Genomic DNA, 26,426 nt, shown 5'->3' on the forward strand with positions numbered 1-26,426 from the left:
TTTGCTTCAGGTGGGCTGGCATGGCCTGGGCAGTGGAAGAGAGGGCACAGGAGGGAAGCCTTCCAGACAGAGGAGGCCTGGGCCCCAAGTGGTCAACAGCTTGACCTCTTGGAAGAACCAAGCATGGCTGTGTCTGGGAACCTGGGCCTCCAAAGGGGAAGTGTGTGGTCAGCCCGCAGGCTGCCCTATGCCTTGGCTCATGCTACACGGGGAGAGCAGGGCAGGGTGGGGTGGTTCCCAGTGAAGGTGGCAGGACTCAGCAAGTGTGGGCCTGTGGAGCCAGCCAAGAGCTCACACGCCACTGATGGCCCCTCATCATCCCCAAGACTGAGGCTGCTGCTCTCTGTGACTTGGCACAGCCTCCAGGCATGGGGTTCCTAACTCTACCTGCCTGCATTCTTGCCCTATTTGTGGCTGTGACAGGCAGGGCAGGGCTGAGGGACACCAGGTGAACGAGGGCCCCTGCTCTCTTTCAGAACCAACACTATCATCCTGGTAGATGCGGACGGCCACGTGACCTTCACTGAGCGTAGCATGATGGACAAGGACCTCTCCCACTGGGAGACCAGAACCTATGAGTTCACACTGCAGAGCTAACCCCACCTCTGGGCCTGGCCAGTGGGCTCCTGGGGGGCCCTGCCTTGAGGGGCACTGTGGACAGGAAACCTTCCTTTGCCATACTGCATTGCACTGCCCGTGGCTTGGCCAGCATCCCCCGGATCAGGGCCCTGTGGTTTGCGTGTTACCCATCTGTGTCCCCATGCCCAGTTCAGGGTCTGCCTTTATGCCAGTGAGGAGCAGCAGAGTCTGATACTAGGTCTAGGACCGGCCGAGGTATACCATGAACATGTGGATACACCTGAGCCCACTCTTGCACATGTACACAGGCACTCACATGGCACACACATACACTCCTGCGTGTGCACAAGCACACACATGCAAGCCATATACATGGACACCGACACAGGCACATGTACGTGCACAGGTGTGCTACACATGTGCACACATGCACAGTTGCACAGACACACACACACAGGTGCACACACACGATGCCGAACAAGGCAGAAGGGCGACTCTCACCTCTCATGTGCTTCTGGCCAGTAGGTCTTTGTTCTGGTCCAACGACAGGAGTAGGCTTGTATTTAAAAGCGGCCCCTCCTCTCCTGTGGCCACAGAACACAGGCGTGCTTGGACTCTTGACAAGCAGACCTGCTCCTGCAGAGGAGACAGCCACATTTGGAATTGGGCACCGAGAAGACCTGAGAAAAACCCACTCTCTCTTTTTTTTTTTTTTGAGACGGAGTCTTGCTCTGTCACCCAGGCTGGAGTGCAGTGGCACGATCTCGGCTCACTGCAACCTCCGCCTCCCAAGTTCAAGCAATTCTCCTGCCCCAGCCTCCTGATTAGCTGGGATTACAGGCGTGTGCCACCATGCCCAGCTAATTTTTGTGTTTTTAGTAGAGACGGGGTTTCACCATGTTGGTCAGGCTGGTCTTGAACTCCTGACGTGGTGATCCACCTGCCTCGGCCTCCCAAAGTGCTGGGATTACAGGCGTGAGCCACCACGCCTGGCCGAAAAACCCACTCTCATAACAGAAGTGCAGACTCATTGCTAGATTCAGTGCCCTTGAGTGTGCCAGAGGTCCTCTGTGTTTGAGACAATCCTGTGTGTGCCAGGAGGCTCCGTGTGCACCAGGGGCTCTCAGAATCCCGCTTACCCAGCTGGAGACCATGCCTCTGGCAGCCCCATCTCAGCCAGCCCTGCTCTCTCCCTCTTCCCTCCAGGTGAGGCAAACTTCATAGGAATCTGTACCTGAATGTGAGCTCCTGATAATAAAACTCTGAGGCTTTGGTGAGCGCATTTCGAGGCCTTTCCCTTGTATGCAGGGTGCCAGTGGGAGCTGCTATGTCTCCTGTGCAGCCAGACACCCTGGACGAGGCCCTTCCCACCTCCCCCTTTCCTCACGGCTTCTTCAGCACCACATGTGGATGCCTGTGGGTCAGTCCATCTGTCCATGGGCAGGGGCCGCTGTGAGAGACCCCATGCGCGTGGGATGTGGTAGATGCTGATTATGGGGCCAGCCACCCATACAGGTCTATCAGGTCGCAATGGAGGCCCCACTGGAGCGGGAGGCAGGCTGGCCTGGACTTCTGTTGGATGATGGGGGCCAGGGGATGGTAGGAGGGGCAGGAGAGCAGGTCTGCATCTGTCTCAGCCCCAGGAGCTCCTGGTTTGGGGCCAGCTCTAAGGAGCTTCATCCCTGAGCCTGGCCGAGTATAAGGGGGTCCCGGATATCCAATGCTGAGACCTAGACTTTTCTAAGCCTCTGCACCCAACCCCTAACTTGGCCTTTTCAGACCCATGAGAGTGCAGGGTGGGTGTGGACCTGCGCCAGGGCTTCCCAGCCTGATTGTGACATGATGTGAGTCCACCTAGGGAGGAGCAGGGGCCTCCCCGTCTCTTCCCCTTCTTGCCCAGACCACTTTGCTGGGCTCAGAGCCTTCCATGGCTCACTTTGAACTCAGAAGAGTTTCCCAGCTGCGACCCAGGCTGCACCCCCAGGCCTGAGGAGAAACTGAGGCCCCACATCCCATACGTGTCCTCTGAGTCAGGACAACAGGCTCCCGGCTGGGGGCACTGCCCTTGCTGCCAACACATTCACCTGCCCCAGTGGCTACCATGTCCTGTGCCGGTGACCAGTGCCAGTCCCCAACCTGGATGGTGCCCTGCCCTCATGAAGAGCCCCCCGGATGTTCACCTCTGCCCAGAGACCCGGCCTGCCCAGGAAGAGCAGTCTCTGCTCTTGTGTGGGTCCCTCTGCCCCCACCCTGCCCAGGGCTCCCCAGCAGCCTGAGGCCCCTAAGGAAGAACAGCCCTCAATGGTGATTCTATTGGTGTTATGAGTTGTGTCCCCAAAGAGATATATCAGTGTCCTGACCCACAGTACCTCAGAATGTGACTGCATTTGGAGATAGGGTTCTTCCAGGGGTAACCAAGGTAGAATGAGGTCGTTAGTGTGGGCCCTAATCCAATATGACGGCTATCCTTATAAAAAGAGGAACATTTAGGCTGGATACAGTGGCTCATGCCTATAATCCCAGCACCTTGGGAGGCTGAGGCAGGAGGACTGCTTGAGCTCAGGAGTTCAAGACCAGCCTGGGGCAACATGTCGAAACGCTGTGTCTACCAAAAAAAAAAAAAAAAAATACAAAAATTAGCTGGCCATTGTGACTCACACCTGTAGTGCGAGGCTGAGGTGGGAGAATCGCTTGAACCCAGGAGGCAGAGGTTGCAGTGAGCCAAGATTGCACTACTGCACTCTGCCTGGGCAACAGAGGGAGACTCTGTCTCAAAAAAACAAAAAAGGAAGATTTGGGCTGGGCGCAGCGGCTCACATTGTAATCCCAGCCCTTTGGGAGGCCAAAGCTGGAGGACTGCTTGAGCCCAGATTAGCCTGGGCAACATAGCAAGACCCCATCTCTAAAGAAAAATGAAAATTAAAAAATTAGCAGGGCATGGTGGTACACACCTGTAGTCCCAGCTACTTGGGAGGCTGAGGTAGGAGGATCACTTGAGCTCAGGAGGTGGAGGCTGCAGTGAGCCGTGATTGCACCACTGCACTTCAGCCTGGATGATGGAGAAAAACCCTGTCTCTTAAAAAAAAAAAAAAAGGAAAAAGAAAGATTTGGACACGGACGGATACGCGCACAGGAAGAACACCGTGTAAAGACTGGAATTCTGCTCCACGAGCCAAGGCATCACCAGAAGCTGGGAGAGGGGCCTGCTTCAGAGCCTCTCTTAGAGCCTTCAGAGGGAGCAGACCTGCTGTCACTCTGATCATGGACTTCCAGCATCCAGAGCTGTGTGACAATAAATGTCTGTTATCTTAAGTGGTTCAATTTGTGATGCTTTTTTTTTTTTTTTTTTGGAGACAGGGTCTCACTCCATTGCCCAGACTGGAGTGCAGTGGCAAGATCACAGCTCACTGCAGCCTCCACCTCCTGAGGTCAGGCAATCTTCCCACCTAGTCCCCTGAGTAGATAGGACTACAGGTGCATACGACCACGTCCAGCTAATTTTTTGTATTTTTTGTAGAGACGGGGTTTTACCATGTTGCCTGAACTGGTCCCAAACTCCTGGGCTCACATGATCCTCCCACCTTGGCCTCCCATAGTGCTGGGATTACAGGTGTGAGCTACTGAGCCCAGACTGTGGTGCTTTTTTTTTTTTTTTTTTTTTTTGAGACGGAGTCTCACTCTGTCACCCAGGCTGGAGTATGGTGGCACAGTCTTGGCTCACTGCAACCTCCACCTCCCGGGTTCAAGCAATTCTCCTGCCTCAGCCTCCTGAGTAGCTGGGACTACAGGCACCTGCCACCACGTCCAGCTAATTTTTTGTATTTTTAGTAGAGACGGGGTTTCACTGTGTTAGCCAGGATGGTCTTGATCTCCTGACCTTGTGATCCGCCCGCCTCGGCCTCCCAAAGTGCTGGGATTACAGGCGTGAGCCACCGCTCCCGGCCGACTGTGGTGCTTTTTTAAGGCGGCCCTAACAGACTAACACAGTAGTGATCTTCACTTTACAGATGAAGGAACTGCGGCTTGGGGAGATACCATAACGGCCCCCCGGTTCCGAGACAGGTGGAGAGGCAGAACCATGGGCCAGGACAGAATAGGATGAGTACAAGGTGGCATCTCTGGGGGTGCCTGCCCCACAGATCCATGGTCTTCCCATGCTGGTGTCCCCACAATGTCTGGCACTGCTCCCCGCTTCACCTTACTTGCCCAGGCCTACCCCCATACCCTCAGCTCACAGCTACACACTCTGCACAGCTCCCACCCCAGGGTCTTTGTGCTCACAGTTCCCCTGCAGATACCCAAACCACACTCTTCCCCCAGTTCCTGCAGGTCTTTACTGAAGTCTCGGGCAGGCAACTCATTTAAAGTTTCAGTTTAGCCCAGCACGGTGGCACACACCTGTAATCCCAGCTACTTAGGAGGCTGAGGTGTGAGCGTCGCTTGAGCCCAGGAGTTTGAGGCTGTAGTAAGCCATGATTGCACGACTGCACTCCAGCGTGTGCGACACAGCGAGCCCCCATCTTGAAAGAAAGAAAAAAGAAATTAAAAAGGAGGCTGGGCACTTTGGCTCACACCTGTAATCCCAGCACTTTGAGAGGCCAAGGTGGGCAGATCACTTGAGTTCGAGACCAGCCTGACCAGCATGGTGAAACCCCATCTCTACTAAATATACAAAAATTAGCTGGACATGGTGGCGGATGCCTGTAATCCCAGCTATTCGGGAGGCTAAGGCAGGAGAATTGCTTGAACCTGGGATGCGGAGGTTGCAGTGAGCTGAGATCGTACCACTGCACCCCAGCCTGGGTAACAGAGCTAGATTGTATCTCAAAAAAAAAAAAAAAAAAAAAAAAAGGAAGGAAGGAGGAAGGAAAGAAGGAGGGAGGAAGAAGGAAGGAAGGAACTCTCTTTTTCTCTATGGCAATGAGCACGTACCATCTGGCATGCTGTGTGCTAGGATTGGTTCTTGCCTGTCTCCATCAGAATGGGAGCTTCAGGAAGGCAGGGACCTTCCTTCTCTTGCCCACTACTGTACTCTGATGCCCAGGCCAGGCAGGCATTTGAGCCAAGAATGACAGTGCTGGTGCTTCCCAAGCCCCCATCTATTTGGGCCAACCCCTTGATGCAAGGCCCTTGTGCTAATAGAGGGTATAGGGGTCCAAAGCCAGTGCCTTCTAGAAGAGCTTTGGACGTGACACCAGGAATGGCTGGGCCTGGACAATGGCCTTCCTGGCACTGCCCAGCCAGTCCTCTGTGCTTGTTGCCAGATGCACCTGATCCCTGAGTCCCCAGCATGGGTCTCTTTCTCCCAGGCAGATGGGGAACTCACCTTCTTCTCAGATGCCCCTTCCCAACATAAGCTGCTTCTGCCCTCTGGCCCCGAGATGGCCAAGGTGAGCTGTGTAGACATAGAGTCTGGAGGCATGGGGCTGGCTAACGTGGAGGCAATTCTATGAACAGACATGGCCAGGCCAGGAATGCGGCATGGCCTCAGGTCTCATCCTTGAAGGCCTGGGCTCCTGGTCTGCCTGCAGACTTCCTGAGACCACGTCTTGTTCTCATCTGCCAGCAGATGCCTGGCTCATGGGTGAGCCGGGCTTAGGTGGAAACACAGGAGCCCAGAGGGGAAAGGATCCTCCCCCAGCTTGGGCTGGAGTCCCAACTTCCAATCATCAATCTTTGCAACCCTGGGGCTGGACCTGGCTAGTTCCATGGTAAGGATCCTTCTCCGTCACCCAGTCAGTCCCAGGCTGTGTGGGAAACTGGCTGTGGTGGGCAGGTCTGAGGTCTCAAGTCTGACAGGGGCCACTGGAGCCTCCAACTCACCAATCAACCAAGTGTGAGAGGTTGCTTTGGTTGAATGGCCATGTGCTGGGGTCTGACTGGCCCAGCCACAGGGAGGCTGGCATCCCCTAGCTGAGTCCTGGACCCAGACCCTCCAGGGCATGGAGCCCATTGTGAGGTGTCTGGTGCTGAAGTGGTGGGGGAGGCCCGTGCAGGCCTACAGCTTTGTCATCTGCAACATTCCTCTCCCCACTTTCTTTAAACTTTTTCATTTAGAAATGATTTCAATGGCCAGGCGTGGTGGCTCATGCCTGTAATCCCAGCACTTTGGGAGGCTGAGGCGGGTGGATAACCTGAGGTCAGGAGTTCGCGACCAGCCTGACCAAAATGGAGAAACCTTGTCTCTACGAAAAATACAAAATTAGCTGGGCATGGTGGCACATGCATGTAATCCCAGCACTTTGGGAGGCTGAGGCAGGTAGATAACCTGAGGTCAGGAGTTCGCGACCAGCCTGACCAAAATGGAGAAACCTTGTCTCTACAAAAAATACAAAATTAGCTGAGCATGGTGGCACCTGCCTGTAATCCCAGCGACTTGGGAGGCCGAGGCAGGAGAATCACTTGAACCCGGGAGGCAGAGGTTGCAGTGAGCCGAGATCATGCCATTGTCCTCCAGCCTGGGTGACGAGAGTGAGACTCCGTCTCAAAAAAAAAAAAAAAAAAATGAAACCTCGTCTCTACAAAATATACAAAAATTAGCTGGGCATGGTGGCAGGTGCCTGTAATCCCAGCTACTTGGGAGGCTAAGGCAGGAGACTCGCTTGAACCCAGGAGGCAGAGGTTGCGGTGAGCCAAGATGGCACCACTGCACTCTAGCCTGGTGACACGGCAAGACTCCATCTCAAAAAAAAAAATTTTTTTTTCAATTTACTAAAGGATTTAAAAAGTAGAACAAAAAATTCTAGTGTCTTTCACCCAGTTACCCCAAATGTGAATGCCGCACCCAATCACAGAAAAATGATTACAACCAGGAAATTAACACTGATAATGTTAAAGAAAGAATTACTGAATGACATTTGCTAAAGCACTGTAGGGAAGACTTTATTCAGGACCGTCTTGCTAGGTCTAGGGACCACAGGAATGAGATTCTGCAGTGGGGGAGAGAGATTAAGCTCAAGTCCGAATGGGCAAGTGGGAACTGATGATAGCTGAGGAGCAGGGCGGTGGGAGCTGGGTCAGCACATGGAAAATGACTAAGAAGAAACACCCCGGGTGAGGGAGATTCTGGCTACACCAATTAACAGGATTTTTGCTGAAGACAGGCCACAGTGACCGGACATCTTCACCTGGGGGACAGTGTAGGAACGGATTAGATAAGGAGGGTGATCAGATGTCGAGGGTCAGGGGATGCTTCTTGCTAAAGTGACTTTGCAGGGTTCTTGCTCTAAGTGAAATTTACAAGGAAGTGCACAGATGGGCCTAGAAGAAGGTTCAGAAGCCTGGTTTGGCCAAGCAAAGAATCTTTGTCGGTCCCTCCTCTTGTTCAAGGAAAGAAGAGGTTATCTTTCCTTGAATAGTACGAGTCCATTTCCTTGCTGGGCTGCCTTTTGTTCATTAAAGGCCAGCTGAATCATCTGCTGGGACCGGCAGTAGAGGAGATATCCTCCATGGTGTGAGCCATCAGGCGTTGCATGTTGAAGATAAAAGAAAAAGATATTAGTTGGAACCAACTATAAACTCAGTTTCTGAGTTCAGAGGGCAGCTACTCAAGATTTCCAGGTGCTGTGCTTGAAGCATCTTCAGATGGAGTAGGGGCTAACAGACTATCATGGACGGCAGTTTGCGTGTCATGAAGTCTGCCCACAAATTATCTGTTGTGGTGCCATCTTAAAGTTTCTTTCTTTTTTTTTTTAGACAGAGTCTTGCTGTTGTTGCCCAGGCTGGAGTGCAGTGGCGCAATCTCAGCTCACTGCAACCTCTGCCTCCCAGGTTCAAGCGATTCTCTTGCCTCAGCCTCCAGAGTAGCTGGGACTACAGGCACACACCACCATGCCCAGCTAATTTTTGTAATTTTTGTAGAGACGGAGTTTCACCATGTTGGCCAGGATGATCTCAATCTCTTGACCTCGTGACCTGCCCACGTTGGCCTCCCAAAGTGTTGGGATTACAGGCGTGAGCCACCGTGCCTGGCCTAAAGTTTCTATCAAGTTGTCCGGGTTCAGCTTAAAGGGCTTCAGGAAATGGGAAGTTTTAATTTTTAGCGGTTCCAGGCCAGAAGGGTGGGAAAAAAACTGGAAACATCAGTTTAGAGAAAATCAAATATTGGAGGAAACTAGAAGAATTCAGGATCCAATCCAGTTTGTAGGTAAATATCAAAACCTCAAAAACAATGAACAGGGCTAGAATCTGATAATGGGTGCACTATAGTTTTCTTCTGAAACTAATTTTTCTCTATATAGTCACCCCACTTCTATCAAAGATGTTGAAGTAAGACTAATTTGTTTGTAGCTAAGTTTAGGTTGATTAAACTTGGCCTAATTACTTACATAAGTGCCGCAACAATAGTGATTGAACACATAGGCTTTCTTTAAGTTTCCTTTGCTAGGACTTTTTTTTTTTTTTTTTTTTTTTTGTCACGGAGTCTCGCTCTGTCGCCCAGGCTGGAGTGCAGTGGCGTGATCTCCGCTCACTGCAAGCTCCGCCTCCCAGGTTCACTCCATTCCCCTGCCTCAGCCTCCCAAGTAGCTGGGACTACAGGCACCCGTCACTATGCCCGGCTAATTTTTTTTTGTATTTTTTTTAATAGAGATGGGGTTTCACCGTGTTAGCCAGGATGGTCTTGATCTCCTGACTTCGTGATCCGCCCGCCTCGGCCTCCCAAAGTGCTGGCATTACAGGCGTGAGCCACCGTGCCCAGCCTGCTAGGACTTTTAATAAGGCATCTCAGATTGGGCTTTTAAAAGCCTTGCCAGGCTAGGAAGCCAAGCCGAAGCTTCACCATCATACTTCATTTGCAATCATTATAGGTTTGGGTGAATTCCTCTCTTTTTGAGGTCCCCCAAAATATCCTGACATCCTTGGGCCTGTCAGGAAGTGACTTTCCTTACTCACCTACAAGGCAACCACATGACCCATGTATTCAAGGTTTAAAACCCATTTTTCCCCAAGGGCTTTATTGGTTCCATAAAGTCATCTTAGTTACTTAAAGTTGTCTGGCCATAGCTAAAAATATGGCATTCTAGTCAAAGCTTTGGTAATATAAACAGCATTTCCAATTGTGTCCTGTTACAAAGAGAACAGGTTCTTACTGAACTTATGTAAATAACCATATTGCCATTAAAATAAAAATACTCATGAATAGTTTCCGAATTATGGAAGGATAAGGTACAGAGAAAAAGTAATTGTTTCACTTTTGTTTACAAAGGCATACTTTACCAAACTGCTGTAAGCTATGGATAACTTAAAAGAGAAAAAAAAGTTTCCTTAAATCTGGAAAACAAAACATTAAAGAACCAGCAATGTTTCAAACAAAACATAAAAAAATTATCCTGGCTGGGTACAGTGGCTCACACCTGTAATGCTTAGGGAGGCTGAGATGGGAGGATCATTTGAGGCCAAGAGTTTGAAACCAGCCTGGTCAACATAGTGAGACCCTATCTCTACAATAAAATTAAATAAATAAATAATTGTAATTGGTTTATTCATTGCCATGTAATTTATTCTTGTTCTGTTTGATCTTGATCAGCAGTTTCACGAACCCCTCAGTGTCTTCATTCAAGTTCTGGAAATTCTGGCCAGGTGTGGTGGCTCACGCCTGTAATCCCAGCACTTTGGGAGGCCAAGGCAGGCAGATCAGTTGAGGCCAGGAATTTGAGACCAGCCTGGCCAATATGGTGAAACCCTGTCTCTACTAAAAATATAAAAATTAACAGGGCGTGGTGGTGGGCGCCTGTAATCCCAGTTACTTGGGTGGCTGAGGCAGGAGAATCGCTGGAACCCGGCAGGCAGAGGTTGCAGGGAGCCAAGATTGCACCACTGCATGCTGGCCTGGGTGACAGAGTAAGACTATGTCTCAAAAAAAAAAAAAAAAAAAGAGTTCTGGAAATTTTTTTTTTTTTTTTTTGAGACGGAGTGTCAGTCACCCAGGCTGGAGTGCAATGGCACGATCTTGGCTTACTGCAAGCTTCGCCTCCTGAGTTCAAGTAATTCTCCTGTCTCAGCCTCCAGAGTAGCTGGGACTAAAGGCACACACCACCACACCCAGCTAATTTTTGTGTTTTTAGTAGAGATGGGGTTTCACCATATTGGCCAGGATGGTCTCAATCTCTTGACCTCGTGATCCGCCCGCCTCGGCCTCCCAAAGTGCTGGGATTATAGGTGTGAGCCACTGCGCCTGGCCCCAGCCACATTTCTTAAGTAATCAAAAACCTAATAAAAGACAATATGAAGAACAAGGAACTATCTTGATATAACACAAAAATCTTTGTTTCCAAGGTCAATTATTTAAAAGGTAAACAGAGGCCAGGCGAGGTGGCTCACGCCTGTAATGCCAGCACTTTGGGAGGCCGAGGCGGGCGGATTACGAGGTCAGGAGATCGAGACCATCCTGGCTAACACAGTGAAATCCCGTCTCTACTAAAAAAATACAAAAAATTAGCCGGGCATGGTGGTGGGCGCCTGTAGTCCCAGCTACTCGGGAGGCTGAGGCAGGAGAATGGCGTGAACCCAGGAGGCGGAGCTTGCAGTGAGCCGAGATCGTGCCATTGCACTCCATCCTGGGCGACAGAGTGAGACTCCGTCTCAAAAATAAAAAGTAAAATAATAATAATAATAATAAAAGGTAAACAGAAATCTTCATAATCTCAAATACTGTAAGAAAACTTTGTCATTTCAACAGAGAAGATCAAGTTAAAGTTCTGCATCATAGCACTACTAATAAAGCTAATTTTAACAAAACCTTATAAATGAATCCATCCAATCTCATGCAAGATAATATTTCTTTTCCAAGATTTCTTTTCTATAGATCTTTTACAACTTAAAAAAAATATCTGGCCGGGCACGGTGGCTCATGCCTGTAATCCCAGCACTTTGGGAGGCCGAGGCGGGTGGATCATGAGGTGAGGAGATCGAGACCAGCCTGGCTAACACGGTGAAACCCTGTCTCTACTAAAAATATAAAAAATTAGCCAGGTATGGTGGCGGGCAGCTGTAGTTCCAGCTACTCGGGAGGCTGAGGCAGGAGCATGGCGTGAACCCGGGAGGCAGAGGTTTCAGTGAGTCGAGATCTTGCCACTGCACTCCAGCCTGGGTGACACAGAGAGATGCCATCTCAAAAAAAAAAAATCTATCAGTACTTTTTTTCCCCTACATTTTTTTTCTTTCTCATTCTGGAACAACCAGTTGCTATATATATTAGCACAGAGTCAGTTATTCCTTTAAGGGATTTTATAAATTAATTTGGTGCTACTATCTGGAGGTAGAAAAATATCATGTATATATAACATACAAACATACATATGTAGTTGCTCTGCAACTGAAGTTGGCAGAGGCCAGACCCAGTGGCTCACGCCTGTAATCCCAGCACTTTGGGAGGCCAAGGCAGGCAGATCACTTAAGGCCAGGAGTTTGAGACCAGTCTTGCCAACATGGTGAAACCTGGTCTCTACAAAAATACAAAAAAATCAGCTGGGCGTAGTGGCGTGCGCTTATAGTCCCAGCTACCTTGGAGACTGAGGCAGGAGAATAGCTTGAACCCAGGAGGTGGAGGCTGCAGTGAGCCGAGACTGCGCCACTGCACTCCAGCCTGGGTGACCCAGTGAGTCTCTGTCTTAAATAAATACATAAATAAATAAACAAACAAATAAATAAAGTTGGCAGAGTATATAGTCTGAAGGGGTTTGAGGAAAGGGGATTCAGGTGACTGAGAAGTTCCGATGGGAGAAGTAGGATCCAATAGAGAGAACAGAGAGGCCTCACAGTGGGAAGAAAAGACTGCCAGCCCAGGAGTCAGGGAGTGAATCCCCATTCAGAATGAAGAGCCACAAGGAAGACCTTCCAACCCAGGAAGTATTATACCTTTCAAAAGAAGGCTGGGACCTTAAAAATCAAAATCTGTCCTTACCAGCTAAAATAAAAGTTTTTCTACAGTCATGGCTCAGGAGTTTGACTCACCAGTAGATCCCCAATCAGCCAGTCAGAAGACAAAGGCTGCAAAGTTGCACATTGAGAGTCCTGGGTCAGAGGCCTGTGGCACCACAACCATTAAAGAAAAAAATTATTCAGCCCTTGTCAAAGCACGGTCGGGAAGGCCTTATTCAGGAGCATTGCCACTGGCATATGGACCACAGGCAATGGGGTTTTGCTGCAGGGGAGAGATTGGGCTGAACTCTGAATACAGCATGGACAAGTGTGAACTGATAGCCAAGGAGCAGGGCGGGGGTCAGTGGATGAAAAATTACTAAGAAGAAACATAAGTGATAAGGGGGATACTGGCTAAGCTGACCTAAGAGGATTCTTGCTGAAGACAGGCTGGGGTGATCAGACATCACCTAGAGGATGGTGGAGGGATGAGGAATTTCATCAGTATTGAGGGCGATCAGATATCAAAAGCAGGGTGGTTCTTGCTAAACTGGAATTCTCAGACGGGCCTAGAAGATTTAGGAGCCTGACTAAAGTTTGGCCAAGCAAATAATCTTTTGTCAATACAACAACACGATACTTTTTACTGTTTGTTTTTTTTTTTTTTTTTTTTTTTTTTTTTTTTGAGACAGAGTCTCCTGCTGTCTCCCAGGCTGGAGTGCAGTGGCGCGATCTCAGCTCACTGCAACCTTTGCATCCCGGGTTCAAGCAATTCTCCTGCCTCAGCCTCCCAAGTAGCTGCAACTACAGGTGCGTGCCACCATGCCCGGCTAATGTTTTTGTATTTTTAGTAGAGACGGGGTTTCACCCTGTTAGCCAGGATGGTCTCGATCTCCTGACCTCGTGATCTGCCTGCCTCAGCCTCCCAAAGTGCTGGGATTACAGGCGTGAGCCACCGCGCCAGGCCAATACAATAGTATTAACTAATCTACAGACCTTGTTTGAATTATATCAATTGTCCCATTAATGTCCCTTTTCTGAGCCAGGATCCCATCTATCGTCTGGATTCCACACTGCATTTTGTTATCTCTTTTAATTGAAGATGGCTCCTCAGTCCATCTTTGACTTGAATGATCTCGATACTTGAAAAGCACTGGCTGGTAATTTTGCAGAATGCCCCTAATTTGGGGTTTGTCTGCTCTTCATTCAGATTCTGCCTTTTGGGCAAAAATACCCACAAGTGAACTTGTGTTCTTCTCAGGAGGTCCACAGTATGTCCTCTTACTGGAACTAACTTTTTTCATTTCTATTGAGGCAGAATTTATATACAATGCAATACACATGTTTAAATGGTACAATTTGCTAAGTTTGCTGGTGACCTTGATGGCTTGGTTAAAGGTGGTGTCGCCCAAGTTTTCTTCCACTCTAAAACTACTATTTTCCCTAGGCAATTAGTATCCTGGGGGAGAAACTTTGCAACACTGAAAACAAAACAAAACCTGTTTGTCATGTTTTTGCCCACTATTTTTTTTTTTTTTTGAGATGGAGTCTCACTCTGTCACCCAGGCTGGAGTGCAGTGGCGTGATCCCGGCTCACCACAACCTCTGCCTCCCAGGTTCAAGTGATTCTCCTGCCTTGGCCTCCCGAGTAGCTGGGACTACAGGCACGTGCCACCATGCCCAGCTAATTTTTTTTGTAGTTTTAGTAGAGACGAGGTTTCACCATCTTGGCCAGGATGGTCTTGATCTCTTGACCTCGTGACCCACCCGCCTCGGCCTCCCAAAGTGCTGGGATTACAGGCGTAAGCCACTGTGCCTGGCCTAATTTTTTTGTAGGGGGTTGGGGGCCGGGGACCGAGTCTCGTTCTGTTGCCCATGCTGGAGTGCAGTGGCTGGATCTTGGCTCACTGCAACTCCTGCCTCCCAGGTTCAAGCAATTCTCCAGCTTCAGCCTCCGTAGCTGGGACAACAGGCACCTGCCACCAAGCCCTGCTATTTTTTTTTGTATTTATAGTAGAGACAGGGTTTCACCATGTTGGTCAGGCTGGTCTCGAACTCCTAACCTCAAGTGATCCGCCCGCCTCGGCCTCCCAAAGTGCTGGGATTACACGCATGAGCCACTGTGCCTGGCCTTGCTCACTATTTTTTCTGGAGACGGTCTCGTTCTGTCACCCAGGTTGGAGTGCAGTGGCCCGATCTCAGATCATTGCAACCTCCACCTCCCGGGTTCAAGCGATTCTCCTGCCTCAGCCTCCCGAGTAGCTGGGATTACAGGTGCCTGCTACCACGCCTGGCTACTTTTTGTATTTTCAGTAGAGATAAGGTTTCGCCACGTTGCCCAAGCTGGTGTGGAACTCTTGAGCTCAGGTGATCCGCCTGCTTCGGCCTCCCAAAGTACTGGGGTTACAGGCGTGAGCCACAGGGCCCGGCCCACTATTTTTATCACTCAAGATTTTCGTCTACAGCAGCTATTATTGGGGTGGCTACCCAGTGGAAAATTTTTCTATTTCCACTATTCCTTCCACATTTATTGACAGGAAAGCTAGTCTAAGGAAGAGCTGTACCCTCACTTACTCAGACCCTCGTTTTCCTTTTTTTTTTTTTTTTTTTTGAGACGGAGTCTCACTCTGCCGCCCAGGCTAGAGTGAAAGTGGTGCTATCTCGGATCACTGCAGCCTGGAACTCCTGGACTCAGGTGATCCTTCCACCTCAGCCTCCCGAGTAGCTCGGACCACAGGCGCCCGCCACCACGCGGCTAATTAAAAATAATTTTGGGCCCGGCGCGGTGGCTCATGCCTGTAATCCCAGCACTTTGGGAGGCCGAGGCGGGCAGATCAATTGAGGCCAGGAGTTTGATACCAGCCTGGCCAACATGGTGAAACCCCGTCTCTACCAAAAATATAAAAATTAGCCGGGCGTGGTGGTGGGCGCCTGTAATCCCAGTTACTCGGGTGGGTGAGCCAGGAGAATCGCTTGAATCCGGGAGGCAAAGGTTGCAGTGAGCTGAGATCGCGCCACTGCACCCCAGCCTGGGAGACAAAGCGAGACACCGCCTCAAAAAAAAAAAAAAAAAGAAAGAAAATTTGTAGATACTGGGCTCTCACTATGTTAGCCAGGCTGGTCTCGAACTCCTGGGCTCAAGTAATCCTCCTGACTCGACCTCCCAAAACTCTGGGATTACAGGCGCAAGCCACCGTGCCCGGCCGAACCACCGTGCCCGGCCGAACCCTCCCTGTTTTGGAAATCCTGTATTAGCAAAGGGGACAGCGCCAGACAGTTGAGCACACGCGTTCTTTATAAATGATGATGTCTGATACAGTGATGCTTTTAACAGGGTTGTGTAACGCCTGTGTGTGCACGGTCTCTTCTGCAGTGTCCACCGAAGGTGGCCCGTCTGCGTGTCCGCTCCCGGCGTACTCCGCGCTCCCTGTTCCCGGCATTCCCCGCGCTCCCCGAGCTTCCCGCGCTCCCCTGCTCCCGGCATTCCCGGTGCTTCCCGTTCCCGGCGCTCCTCGCGGCCGCCGCCCTCAGTCCAGCGAGCCCCGCCTGGGCAGCGACTGTTAGCGCGACCGCGGCCTGGGCGCCTGGTCCCTCCCGCGCGGCCGCGCTATTGGGCCGCGCGCGGCGGACACACGCGCTACGCGCCGCCGATTGGCGGCCTCCGCAGCGCGCTCTGCGGCTCCCCCAATGCGGGGCGGCCGCGCGCGGGGATTGGCCGCACGCCGCGAAGGCCCGCCCTCCGCTCGCCCGGCGCGGCAGGCGGGTGCCGGCGACCGGAGAGCCTGGACAGGCTTTCCAGATGGCTGCGGCGGTCGGTCGGTGAGGCTTTCCCGGCTGTGGTTTGGCTGCGGGCGGCTTGGGCAGCCCGCGGGCGCCTCAGGTAGGTGCGGGGCGCGAGGGGCGCCCGCGGGCGGTTGGGCGGGCGCCGCGGCCTGCGCGAGGGCGCGCCCTTCCCTCCCGCCTCCCTCCGGGACCGAGGCCGCGGGCGGGGCGGGGGCGCGGAGCCCGGCCTTTGTGAGGCAACATGGCCGCGGGCGGTGGAGAGCGCGGGGTGGGGACGCCTCCGGGGCTGGGGGGCGGGCCCCGGGCCCAGGCGTTGCCGACTCTCGTCGCTGTCCGCCCGGGTAAAGAGGCTCCTCTCCCGGAGGGCCCGAAGCCTAGCATCGCCTTCAGGCGGGAAAGGTGTGGACAGGGCCAGTGCTCGCCTGGGACCCTGCCGGCTTTAACACAGTTTGGGAAATCCAAGAAGTCGCCTAAGTCTTTTTGTCCACAGAATGCTCACGGGTTGAGTGTCACGTAGATAATTGGGATACGGTTTTATTGTAACAATGAGCATGGCGGAAATAAATGGAAGGTGGCAACCTGTTGACAGTGATGCCTGTCTGGTGTCAACCGATGGACTTGGGTTTCTTGTGGCAGGAGTCTGATTTGCCTTTTTGCATGCTTGCATGTACCTTGTTCCTGCACGGCAGTCCTGTCTTTGGCTGTCGACTGTTCGAGGCCAACCACCAGGCGAGGATCCACTGTTTCCTGGCCAGACTAGACTCCCAGCTGTGGGAGTGGCCCAAACCCTGCTGCAGGCCTTCACTCACAAAAGGGAGTGAATGGCCAGCCCGGGGTACCCAGTGTTGCCTCTAAGTGCGGGATATGAGGCCTGTTGGAGGATGACAAAAGGAACGGATGAGGTCATACTGCCGCTGGGTTGGGCGGGAGGCTGCAGCGGGAGAGACTTGACCAAAAGGCAGCCTCCATGGCGCTGGCACTGGTGCTGGCCCGTCACAGCCAGTGCCTCTGTTAGCCAACACAGCAAGTGGGCTAGGAGGAAGGGTGCTGTCCAAGTGTACGGGTTTTCTCCCCGTGCCAAGGGTCCAGGGGAGCTTGCCGTGAGCCCGTTCCTGTCCGATAGTCCTGTTGGCAAGGCAGGGTTTGCATGCGGTGTTTGGTCAGCTGGAGCAGTGGGGAGGCCTACGGGCAGAGAGCTCCCCTTTGAGCCCTTTGCGGCCAGGCGCTGTGTGGAGCACTTCCCAGGGGTTGTTTTGTAGTCTCACCGTGACCTTGGGGTAGGAAATGTGCTTCTGGCTGGCTTGCCCAGTCTTAGACTCTCTTGTTGTAGCCCTCTCCTTTGTGATGTCACCCAGCCTCCTGACTTTAATGCCAGCTTTCCTTGACATCTTCACAGCTCCAGCCCTGGCCTCTCTTCTGATTTCCAGCCTGGTGTTTCTGGCCACCTCTTCCATATCTCCATGTGTTACTTTGGCGCCAAGTAGCCATATCCAAACCAAACTCAAATCTTCACCCATGCCAAAACATTCCTTGGCCTATCTAAAGTCCCTTTGATTCCTCTCTTTCTTACACCTTCATGCAGTCCTAAGGAGGCCCCGTCAGCTCACCTATTTCTAAGCACAGACCATTTCTCACCACCTTCAAGTTAACATCCTGGCCCAGCCTACCTGGTGAGCCTCTAATTCTCTTTACTGTCACCTTAGGTCCTCACTCCCCATCCACCATCTATAGTTTTTCTGGACACAGAGTGATTCTTCTTTCTTTCTTTTTTTTTTTTTTTGTTTTTTTGAGACAGAATCTCGCTCTGTCGCCCAGACTGGAGTGCAGTGGCGTGATCTCAGCTCACTGCAACTTCTGCCTCCCGGGTTCAAGCGATTCTCCTGCCTCAGCCTCCCAAGTAGCTGGGACTGCAGGCGTCCACCACCACCACGCCCGGCTGATTTTTGTATTTTTAGTAGAGACGGGGTTTCACCATGTTGGCCAGGCTGGTCTCGAACTCCTGGCCTCAAATGATCTGCCTGCCTCAGCCTTCCAGAGCGCTGGGATTACAGGCGTGAGCCACTGTGCCTGGCCACAGAGTGATTCTTTTTATTTTTTTGAGACAGAGTCTCGCTTTGTTGCTCAGGCTGGAGTGCAGTGGTGCGATCTCCCGCTCACTGTAAGCTTCGCCTCCTGGGTTCAAGCCATTCTCCTGCCTCAGCCTCCCGAGTAGCTGGGACTATAGGCGCCCACCACCACACTCGGCTAATTTTTTGTATTTTTAATAGAGACGGGGTTTCAATGTGTTAGCCAGGGTGGTGTCGATCTCCTGACCTTGTGGTCCGCCTGCCTCAGCCTCCCAAAGTGCTGGGATTACAGTCGTGCACCACCGCGCCCGGCCCAGAGTGGTTCTTTTAAACCATAAGATGGTATAAAACAGAGGCGGTGTAGATGCAAGCCAGCTTGCCTGCTTGTAAAGCAGCTCCATCACTTCCTGGCTGTATGACCTTGAGCATGTGGGTGAACCTTTCTTCCATAATGCTATGTGAGACCTGGGTGAGTTAAAATGCTTAAAGTGCTTAGAACAGGGCCTGGCTGAGGTTTGGTTGCCACTGCTATCCTGGAATCAGCTGATGCCACTGTGTGGGCCTTCCTATCCGGTGGCCCATCTCTCTCACTAAGAGCCAAAGTCCTGGCAGCAGCCTGGGAGGACCAGCCCTGATCCATCTGCCCTCATGGACTTGGCCCACTGTCACGTCCCCTCAGCACACTGCCCCAGCTGGCCACACCACATTCCTGACCCCAGCCCTCTGCTTTTCCTCTCAGTGTCACCTGGAACATCCCCTCCTCCCAGCCCTGTAACCCACCTGGCTCACTCCTGCCTTCACGTGGATGCAGGCCATGAGGCCTTCTTGGATCCCCCTTCCTAAAACTGCCTCCCCTTCTTCAGGCGCTTTCCTTGTTTTGTTTTTGCTTGAATACTTCTTGGCATGTGACAGGGTGCATGCTTTTCTTAGTTGTTAGCGGTCCATCTCCCCCACTAAAATGTGAGCTCTGTAGGGCAGGGTTTTGTCCACCTTGTGTCTGTAGCATCTAGGATGGTGTGTGTGTGTGTGATGAATGGAGAAAGCTTATAGAGGGGAGGAAGGAACTTGCCCAGGACTGCCCACCACTGAGGTCTGGGGCTGGGCAGGTTTCCTGCTTTCCTAAGGAGCTCACTCACTTGTAAGGCACCAGGCTTTCCTGCTGTGCATTTCTTCAGTGCCGCCGCTTGGCCCCATTAGCACCTTTGCTTGGAACGTCTACTCTAGCTGCTTCTTCGCCTTCTGTGGTAGCAGGCTTCCCCATTCCGTCCCACTGTTGGTCTCTAATCCCCTGCTCCTTGTGGCTTCTTCATGTAGCTTTTTGTGTCCCAGAATCATGGATTGACTCACCAGGGTCTCTATGGGACTGCCAGGTTCTGAGGTGTGTGGCCCTGGTCTTCCTTGTAATCTGTGGCACTGGGCGCATTGACCCCTCGGTCTGTTTTCTCTAATGGTCTTTCTTGGTTGCCAGGAGACTGACCTCACCCCACTTAGTGTTCCTCATGCCTGCCTGGTTGCTGCCCACAGCCTCTTGAGCGTCTTCAGCACTTTATAGTCAGTTGTTAGCTCTGTGCTGTGTTTCCTGGATCCTCAGCACCTTTGATGGACACATCTTTGGGAACATACGGTGTGAAATTCCCATTAGATTCAGAAATGTTAGGACATCTTAGAATCCAGGAAATGGGGTGACAGTGCAGTGGTCATTGACCTGCCAGTGTGTCCAGGCCCTGTGACCTTGTCTCTTGTCCATATAGTGCGTTCCTCGGAGTAGATGGCCAGTGGATAGTTGTTAAATGTATTGATTAAACCTAAACTAGTCTCTGGTTTTCATGTTGTGTCCCCTTCGAAGTACATCCACCATGCCTTGTCCCTTGTTAAATGTGTGATGTCTGCATCTCCTGTTCTTTCCGGGAATCTTGGGAGGATGTTAGGTCATGCAGTGCGGTTTGCATGTGTGCATCTTTACTGGTATGCACGCATGTGCATGCATGCGTGTTCCTGTGCACGTTGTGGGAGTGTGCATGTGCGTGTGTCTGCATGTGTTCCTTCTGCTCTGATGCAGGGTTTTCTGGCTGCCCCCTCAGACCCATCTTCCCTGCTTCATGTTGTCCCTTTCTTCATGCTTCCTCTGTAGTAAGGCTTCCTAGAGTTGCATCCTTAACCCTCATCTCTGGGTGGCCTTCCTCCTGTGGGTTTGGCGACTACCTCCTCAGTGCGTCCTGGCCTTCCGTATCTGGACCAGTCATGGCTCCAGAGTTGTGGCCTCGGCACCTTCAGAGCCTGCCTGGAGGTCCCCTCTGTTCTCCTCGCCAGGCTCCTGCCTGCATGCTGGAATTTGGGTGTCCTTCCTTGTCTTTAGTTCCCTCTTTTCTCTGCTATCCACCTCCGTTGGGTCAACAAGTGCGGTCAGTTCTGTGACACTGTTCTTGGCCCATTGCCAGGGCCTCTTTCACACCTTTGTCCTCTGGCCTGGAGGACTGTCCCCGTGCCTTGGATGCAGTTGCTTCTGCCTGGCACAGCTGTGGGTCTCCCCTCTCAAGTAGGAACCTACTTGTGGCATGAGAGTCGCTTCACCTTCAGTGGCTCCTTATTGTCCCCAGGGCGGAACGGGCTGCAGGTGGCACCCAGGCCTCTCTGTGCCTCGGCTCCAGCTGTCTCTTGTGGCTCCCCACCCCAAATCCTGGCAGGTCCCTTCCCCACAGCCACCCACCCCTCTCCTCCATCGGGAACAGAACTATGCTGCCACCTCTGGTGACCTCAGCACGCTGCATCACTGTCCCCGTCCACGTGCTACCCTGTGGGCCCAGGAGAGCCCTGGGGTCCCTGGGTAGCAGAGCGCCTGGCCATGCCTCTGAGGCCCCTAGTGCCGCAGAGTTGAGCTGAGGGTCTCGCGCTCGCCCTCTGACTGACCCAGCCCTTGCAGGTGAGTGGATTGCTGTGCTCTGGTGGCCTGAGGGAGGCCACGCGCCTTCTGTGTGTTCCAGAAAGGGTGCCTCCCACTGCATGCTTGCTTATCTGAGTTAGAAGAATGCTGTGGTGGAGTTTAGTGTAAATTTTTAAAATATTTTTTGAGCCTTATGATTATATAGTTTTTGTGTTTCTGAAGTAGGAATTAAAGTGGGCATTAACAAAATATTTAACTTTGGACTTAAGTTATAATTCAGGTTCTGAAGAATAAAAGTAAGGTTAGTTTGTTTTGATGCCTAAAAAGTCCTCTTAGGGAATATTATTTTGAAGCCCTTTACTATGCTGTTAATAGTGCTTGGCTTTTAACTTGGTACCAGGGAATTGGAAGGTTTCTGTCATTTTGTGACGATATTTTTAAATTTCTTTGCAGGTAGAAGAAGAAAGGTGCCACTCCGGCATGAAGACAGACTCGCTTAGTCGCCAGTCACTTAAGCTGAGTGCATTGTGATTTCCAATAATTGAGGCAGTGGTTCTAAAAGCTGTCTACATTAATGAAAAGAGCAATGTGGCCAGCTTGACTAAGCCGCCAGCGCACAGCGCGGCAGGACGCGCCCGGGTCTCAGCGGACTTGTGCATGTTAGCTGTGTAGATTTATGTGAGGGCTTGTAAAACTCTGGTCTTGTAAACTAGTCTTAAGCGCTTTTAATATGGAGACAGATGAGAGCCCCTCTCCGCTCCCGTGTGGGCCCGCAGGAGAAGCGGTGATGGAGAGCCGAGCTCGCCCCTTCCAAGCGCTGCCCCGTGAGCAGTCTCCACCACCTCCCCTGCAAACGTCCAGTGGTGCAGAGGTAATGGACGTTGGCTCTGGTGGTGATGGACAGTCCGAACTCCCTGCTGAGGACCCCTTCAACTTCTACGGAGCTTCTCTTCTCTCCAAAGGATCCTTCTCTAAGGGCCGCCTCCTCATAGACCCGAACTGTAGTGGCCACAGCCCGCGCACCGCCCGGCACGCACCTGCGGTCCGGAAGTTCTCCCCTGACCTTAAGTTGCTTAAGGATGTAAAGATTAGCGTGAGCTTTACCGAGAGCTGCAGGAGTAAGGACAGGAAGGTGCTGTACACAGGAGCAGAGCGCGACGTGCGGGCGGAGTGCGGTCTGCTCCTTAGCCCTGTCAGTGGGGACGTGCATGCTTGTCCCTTTGGCGGGAGTGTTGGTGACGGGGTAGGCATAGGGGGTGAGAGTGCTGATAAGAAGGATGAGGAGAATGAGCTGGATCAGGAAAAGAGAGTGGAGTATGCAGTGCTCGATGAGTTAGAAGATTTTACTGACAATTTGGAGCTAGATGAAGAAGGAGCAGGCGGGTTCACGGCTAAAGCAATCGTTCAGAGAGACAGAGTGGATGAAGAGGCCTTGAATTTCCCCTACGAGGTATGTTGGCAGCCCCTCCTCTAGAGGGCTCTTAGCAAAACCCAAAGAGAGATTTGGGAATTGCAGCATCTTTTGAAAGCAGGGAAATTAAAAAAAAAAAAAACAAAAACCAAAATCCCCTCTGAGGTGGAATAATGTTAATGTGGAGAAGAGAAAGATGTAAGGAGTCCAGATTTTTAAAGTTTCCTAATGAAAAGTTTGGCCCATGGGTAGGCCCTGCATCCCTGATCTAGCGCGTGGGGCAGCAGGTGCTGCTGAGTTACGCTCCTTGGCAGTGTGTGCCCCTGGACCAGGTGTGTTGGTGTCAGCTGGTAGCTTCATCCTGTTTGTTTTTCAGATGATCATGCACCCTAAGGGCACATCTAGGCCCCCTGAGAGCACCTCCTTTCTGTGTCTGTTCTCAGGAATGCTGTTGAGCTCTCCTGTTGCAGGAGCATGAGCGCCAGGGGCTCTGGTGTCTGAACAGCGTGTTTTGCAGGATGACTTTGACAACGATGTGGATGCTCTGCTGGAAGAAGGCCTTTGTGCCCCCAAAAAGAGGCGAACAGAGGAAAAATATGGCGGAGACAGCGACCATCCGTCCGATGGAGAGACAAGTGTGCAGCCGATGATGACCAAGATTAAAACAGTGCTCAAAAGTACGTGTGTGGGTCAGAAGCAGTGGGTGTTCCAGGGCAGTGGAGGGGTGGTTGCTTCCTTAGCAGAAATGCTTTGAGAGAGCTCTGGTGCCAGGTAGTGGGCTGGGTGGAGGCATGTTTGAGGACAGGACAGAAATATCTGAGGAGGGAAACACAGGATGGGAGGACGTCCTGATGCATGACCCAGATGCGGATCCTGGTGTGTGCTATGGAAACCACAGAGCAGCAGGCACTGTGCAGAGGAATGGGAGGGGACTTCTGAGGGGGTCAGGAGGGGATGTTGGTATATGCCAGGAGCCAGCATGACCATCAGCTGGAGGGTGTGGAGACCAAGGGCAAGGTGGGTACACAGTGAGATGGCAGGTGATAGTTGTGATCCAGGTTCTAGTCCTGGACCAAGTGTCACAGGAAGCCACCAGAAGCAAGTGGTGTTACCTGATTTTTGTTTAACAACATGGCTTCTGGGCCACAGCATGGTGTGTGCACTTCAGCTGGGCAGGGTGGAAGTGCCCTGGTCGACGTGGCACTTCCTCAACTTTGAGTTGAGGGTAGTGGGGAGAGCACTTGAGAGGCGCCCAGAGTTGCACTGTGAGGCTCTGTCATCGATGTGGTGCAGGTGTTGGGGGAGTCGGAGTTGGTGGCTTGGAGGCACCTATGAGGGTCCTGGTGGAGATGTGGGGCTCGGTAGAGGGACTGAAGAGATGCACGGGGACTCAGGCTCACAGGTGAGACCCCAGGCTGAGGGCTGGGGTGCACAAGGTGGCAGGGTGCGACTGGGAGCAAAGCAAGGGGCGGGTGGCACATGGCCATCCTCCTTGGGCCATTGAGGGGACAAGTTAGCTATGCCAGGTGCCACATGTTGCTGCCTATGTCGTGTTGGTAGCAGTTAAGCAGGAGGGCTTTTGGTCTAGACGGTTGCAGGCAGGGTAAACCTGGGGCTTCAGCTTCTGGGGCTGGGGGCAGGAGTCTTGACCTCGGGGCCTCTAGGAGGCTGGTTTGGTGCTGCATTTTCAACAGGCTCATTCAGAAGGTAAACCCACATTCGTCCTGCACAGCTCACTGGTCAGCAGCCATTCTGGCCTGGATGCCTGGATGTTCACAGACGGACAGCTGCATGTGACCCCCACCTCAGGTGGCTGGGCCAACTTTGTGACCACTCACTGTCACAGAGGAGCAGCCCCAGCGGACCCGTGGCCCGTCTCTTGCTTGGCTCCGTATTCCCTTTGCTTCTTTTCCTGACTTAACCTAAAGCTGGCAGGAGGCAGCTCCATCTTGGCCTGACTCTGTGGGGAGAGAGCCCACGCAGTGTGCATGCACCCCTGACCTTTAACACTCCCTCCCTGAATCATCACCTGATGGTGGCCTGGGTACAGGTGTCAGGTCCAGGGTCAGGGCCACTTGGTGGGTACCTAGCCCTGAGAGTCACTGGCCCTTTTTCCCCTTATGTATATTTTTTAAGGTTTCATTTGCTTTCTTCTGTTTTTTAATTTTTTTTTTGAGGCGGGGTCTTGCTGTTACCCAGGTTGGAGTAGCTCACTACAGCCTCAGCCTCCCAGGCTCAAGTGATCCTCCCACCTCAGCTTCCCAAGTAGCCAGGACTATAGGTGTATGCCACCATGCCTGGATAATTTTAAAAAGTTTTTTGTAGAGTCAGGGTCTTGCTGTGTTGCCTAGGCTGGTCTTTCTAAGTTTTTAACTTGTTCCCAATACCTGTGAGAAAATTAAGTTTTAGTTACATCTTTGCCTTACGCTCTTCCCAGCAGTCAGGCCTGGTGGCAGGTGTCAAGTTGATAAGTCGTAAACCTCTTCCTCACAACTGCCTATAAAGCAAAGAAGGGGTTGGGAGTAGTGTATTAAACCAACTTAGAAACGGAATCATTTGAAGCAGTGTTTTGTATGCTGCTGAGAGTGCAGCTCAGTTACAATAAAGACTTGTCACCTGGTCACTGGGAGCAGTGGCTGACAGCCATGCAGTTTATTAGCAAAGCTCATCCAGCCCCAAGGCGCCTCTGGCCACAACCAGACAGGCAGCAAAGGAGTCCAGTGTCCACAGTGCTTACCAGATGTGGAGGCAGGAGCTGAGGCTGGGACTTATATCTTGCACAGACCTGTTCTGTGCTCCTTCATGTGCTGGTTTGACACGTGTAAATTCCCACCTCAGGCCACATGCTATCTGTCCTAGGCCTGGAGGCATAGCAGTGAGCAAGGCAGAGAGGAATTTCGATTATCTGTGAAGACCCAGTTAAACACATGCTAGTACCCAACAATTTCTTGTGCAGGAGGTGCTGTGGCAACAATTCCAAGTGTTTTTACAGTGATTATAGGATGTTCTTGTCTTCCTGTGCAGGTCGTGGCCGCCCACCTACAGAGCCGCTGCCCGACGGGTGGATCATGACATTCCATAACTCTGGAGTCCCGGTGTACCTACACAGAGAGTCTCGGGTGGTCACCTGGTCCAGGCCATACTTCTTGGGAACGGGAAGCATACGGGTAGGGGAGGCATCAGTCGTGACTTTAGGCTTGTAAGTTCTCAGACCAAAACGTGCACATCCACACACATGGCACCGCAGCCAAGCAGAGGCCGGTGAAAGGCATCAGAGTTTCAGACTCTCGGGTTGTCCTTGTAATCCATATTGCAATTTCACTATCCACAGAAACACGACCCTCCTCTGAGTAGCATCCCTTGTCTGCATTATAAGAAAATGAAGGACAACGAGGAACGGGAGCAAAGCAGTGACCTCACCCCTAGTGGGGATGTGTCCCCCGTCAAGCCCCTGAGCCGATCTGCAGAGCTGGAGTTTCCCCTGGATGAGCCTGACTCTATGGGTGCTGACCCGGGGCCCCCGGACGAGAAAGACCCACTAGGGGCTGAGGCAGCCCCTGGGGCCCTGGGGCAGGTGAAGGCCAAAGTCGAGGTGTGCAAAGATGAATCCGTTGGTGAGTTTTTGAAGGACTCTTCCCTTCTTGCCTCCTGGGACCCATGAGCTTTGTTTTTCTAATGAAGGCCATAATTGTTCATAGTTCCTAGTTGTACTTGTGAGCAAGGGGCTGTGCACCTCCACTGTTGGTGTGGCTGAAAGGCTTGTCTTCCTGTCCTTGCAAGAACCTGCCTGGGTGCAGCACCCTAGGCTCCTGTCTGTGGGCTCTGTGGTGTCTGCATGGCTGAGGCT

The 26,426-nt window shown here is 52.0% G+C and overlaps 2 protein-coding genes and 2 non-coding genes across 59 annotated transcripts in view, besides 4 other annotated features; all 4 read left to right on the forward strand.

Moving 5' to 3' along the window:
* The window catches only part of TANGO2 (transport and golgi organization 2 homolog), a 50,142-nt gene extending 47,043 nt beyond the window's left edge, over window positions 1-3,099 (forward strand). For all 52 annotated transcript variants that reach the window (NR_136212.1, NR_136211.2, NR_136206.2 and 49 more), the window contains one exon: window positions 477-3,099. Coding sequence is in view for 46 of the 52 variants with exons in the window: in XM_017028580.2 (XP_016884069.1) it covers window positions 477-597 (121 nt within the window). In the remaining 6 variants the exon portion in view is untranslated. The remainder of the gene's footprint in view (window positions 1-476) is intronic.
* Window positions 2,043-2,543: an enhancer, noted in NCBI's record as "H3K4me1 hESC enhancer chr22:20053631-20054131 (GRCh37/hg19 assembly coordinates)". NCBI's record gives its function as "activates a minimal SCP1, AML or CMV promoter by ChIP-STARR-seq in naive H9 embryonic stem cells {active_cell/tissue: H9 hESC(naive)}" and the evidence as "EXISTENCE:reporter gene assay evidence [ECO:0000049][PMID:30033119]".
* Window positions 16,055-16,674: a silencer, noted in NCBI's record as "silent region_13473". NCBI's record gives its function as "represses an Ori minimal core promoter by ATAC-STARR-seq in GM12878 lymphoblastoid cells {active_cell/tissue: GM12878}" and the evidence as "EXISTENCE:reporter gene assay evidence [ECO:0000049][PMID:35858748]".
* The window catches only part of DGCR8 (DGCR8 microprocessor complex subunit), a 31,632-nt gene continuing 21,381 nt past the window's right edge, over window positions 16,176-26,426 (forward strand). For 2 of the 5 annotated variants that reach the window (NM_022720.7, NM_001190326.2), the window contains exons 1-5: window positions 16,176-16,318; window positions 21,622-22,618; window positions 23,097-23,256; window positions 25,604-25,746; window positions 25,911-26,193. In NM_022720.7, the coding sequence (NP_073557.3) occupies window positions 21,899-22,618; window positions 23,097-23,256; window positions 25,604-25,746; window positions 25,911-26,193 (1,306 nt within the window). In that variant the 5' untranslated portion in view covers window positions 16,176-16,318; window positions 21,622-21,898. Of the gene's footprint in view, window positions 16,319-17,609; window positions 21,208-21,621; window positions 22,619-23,096; window positions 23,257-25,603; window positions 25,779-25,910; window positions 26,194-26,426 lie in introns of those variants that run through there. The other 3 variants (XM_047441419.1, XM_047441418.1, XM_006724268.4) reach the window with 3 other exon arrangements.
* Window positions 16,935-16,994: an enhancer, noted in NCBI's record as "active region_18670". NCBI's record gives its function as "activates an Ori minimal core promoter by ATAC-STARR-seq in GM12878 lymphoblastoid cells {active_cell/tissue: GM12878}" and the evidence as "EXISTENCE:reporter gene assay evidence [ECO:0000049][PMID:35858748]".
* Window positions 19,099-19,717: an enhancer, noted in NCBI's record as "NANOG-H3K4me1 hESC enhancer chr22:20070687-20071305 (GRCh37/hg19 assembly coordinates)". NCBI's record gives its function as "activates a minimal SCP1, AML or CMV promoter by ChIP-STARR-seq in naive H9 embryonic stem cells {active_cell/tissue: H9 hESC(naive)}" and the evidence as "EXISTENCE:reporter gene assay evidence [ECO:0000049][PMID:30033119]".
* On the forward strand, window positions 21,681-21,768 carry MIR3618 (microRNA 3618). The gene has a single exon (NR_037412.1). It is a non-coding gene; the product is annotated as a microRNA 3618 (primary transcript).
* MIR1306 (microRNA 1306) lies at window positions 21,993-22,077 on the forward strand. Its single transcript, NR_031706.1, has one exon. It is a non-coding gene; the product is annotated as a microRNA 1306 (primary transcript).

This window comes from Homo sapiens, chromosome 22, assembly GCF_000001405.40.
Source record: "Homo sapiens chromosome 22, GRCh38.p14 Primary Assembly".
Classification (NCBI taxonomy): Eukaryota; Metazoa; Chordata; class Mammalia; order Primates; family Hominidae; genus Homo; species Homo sapiens.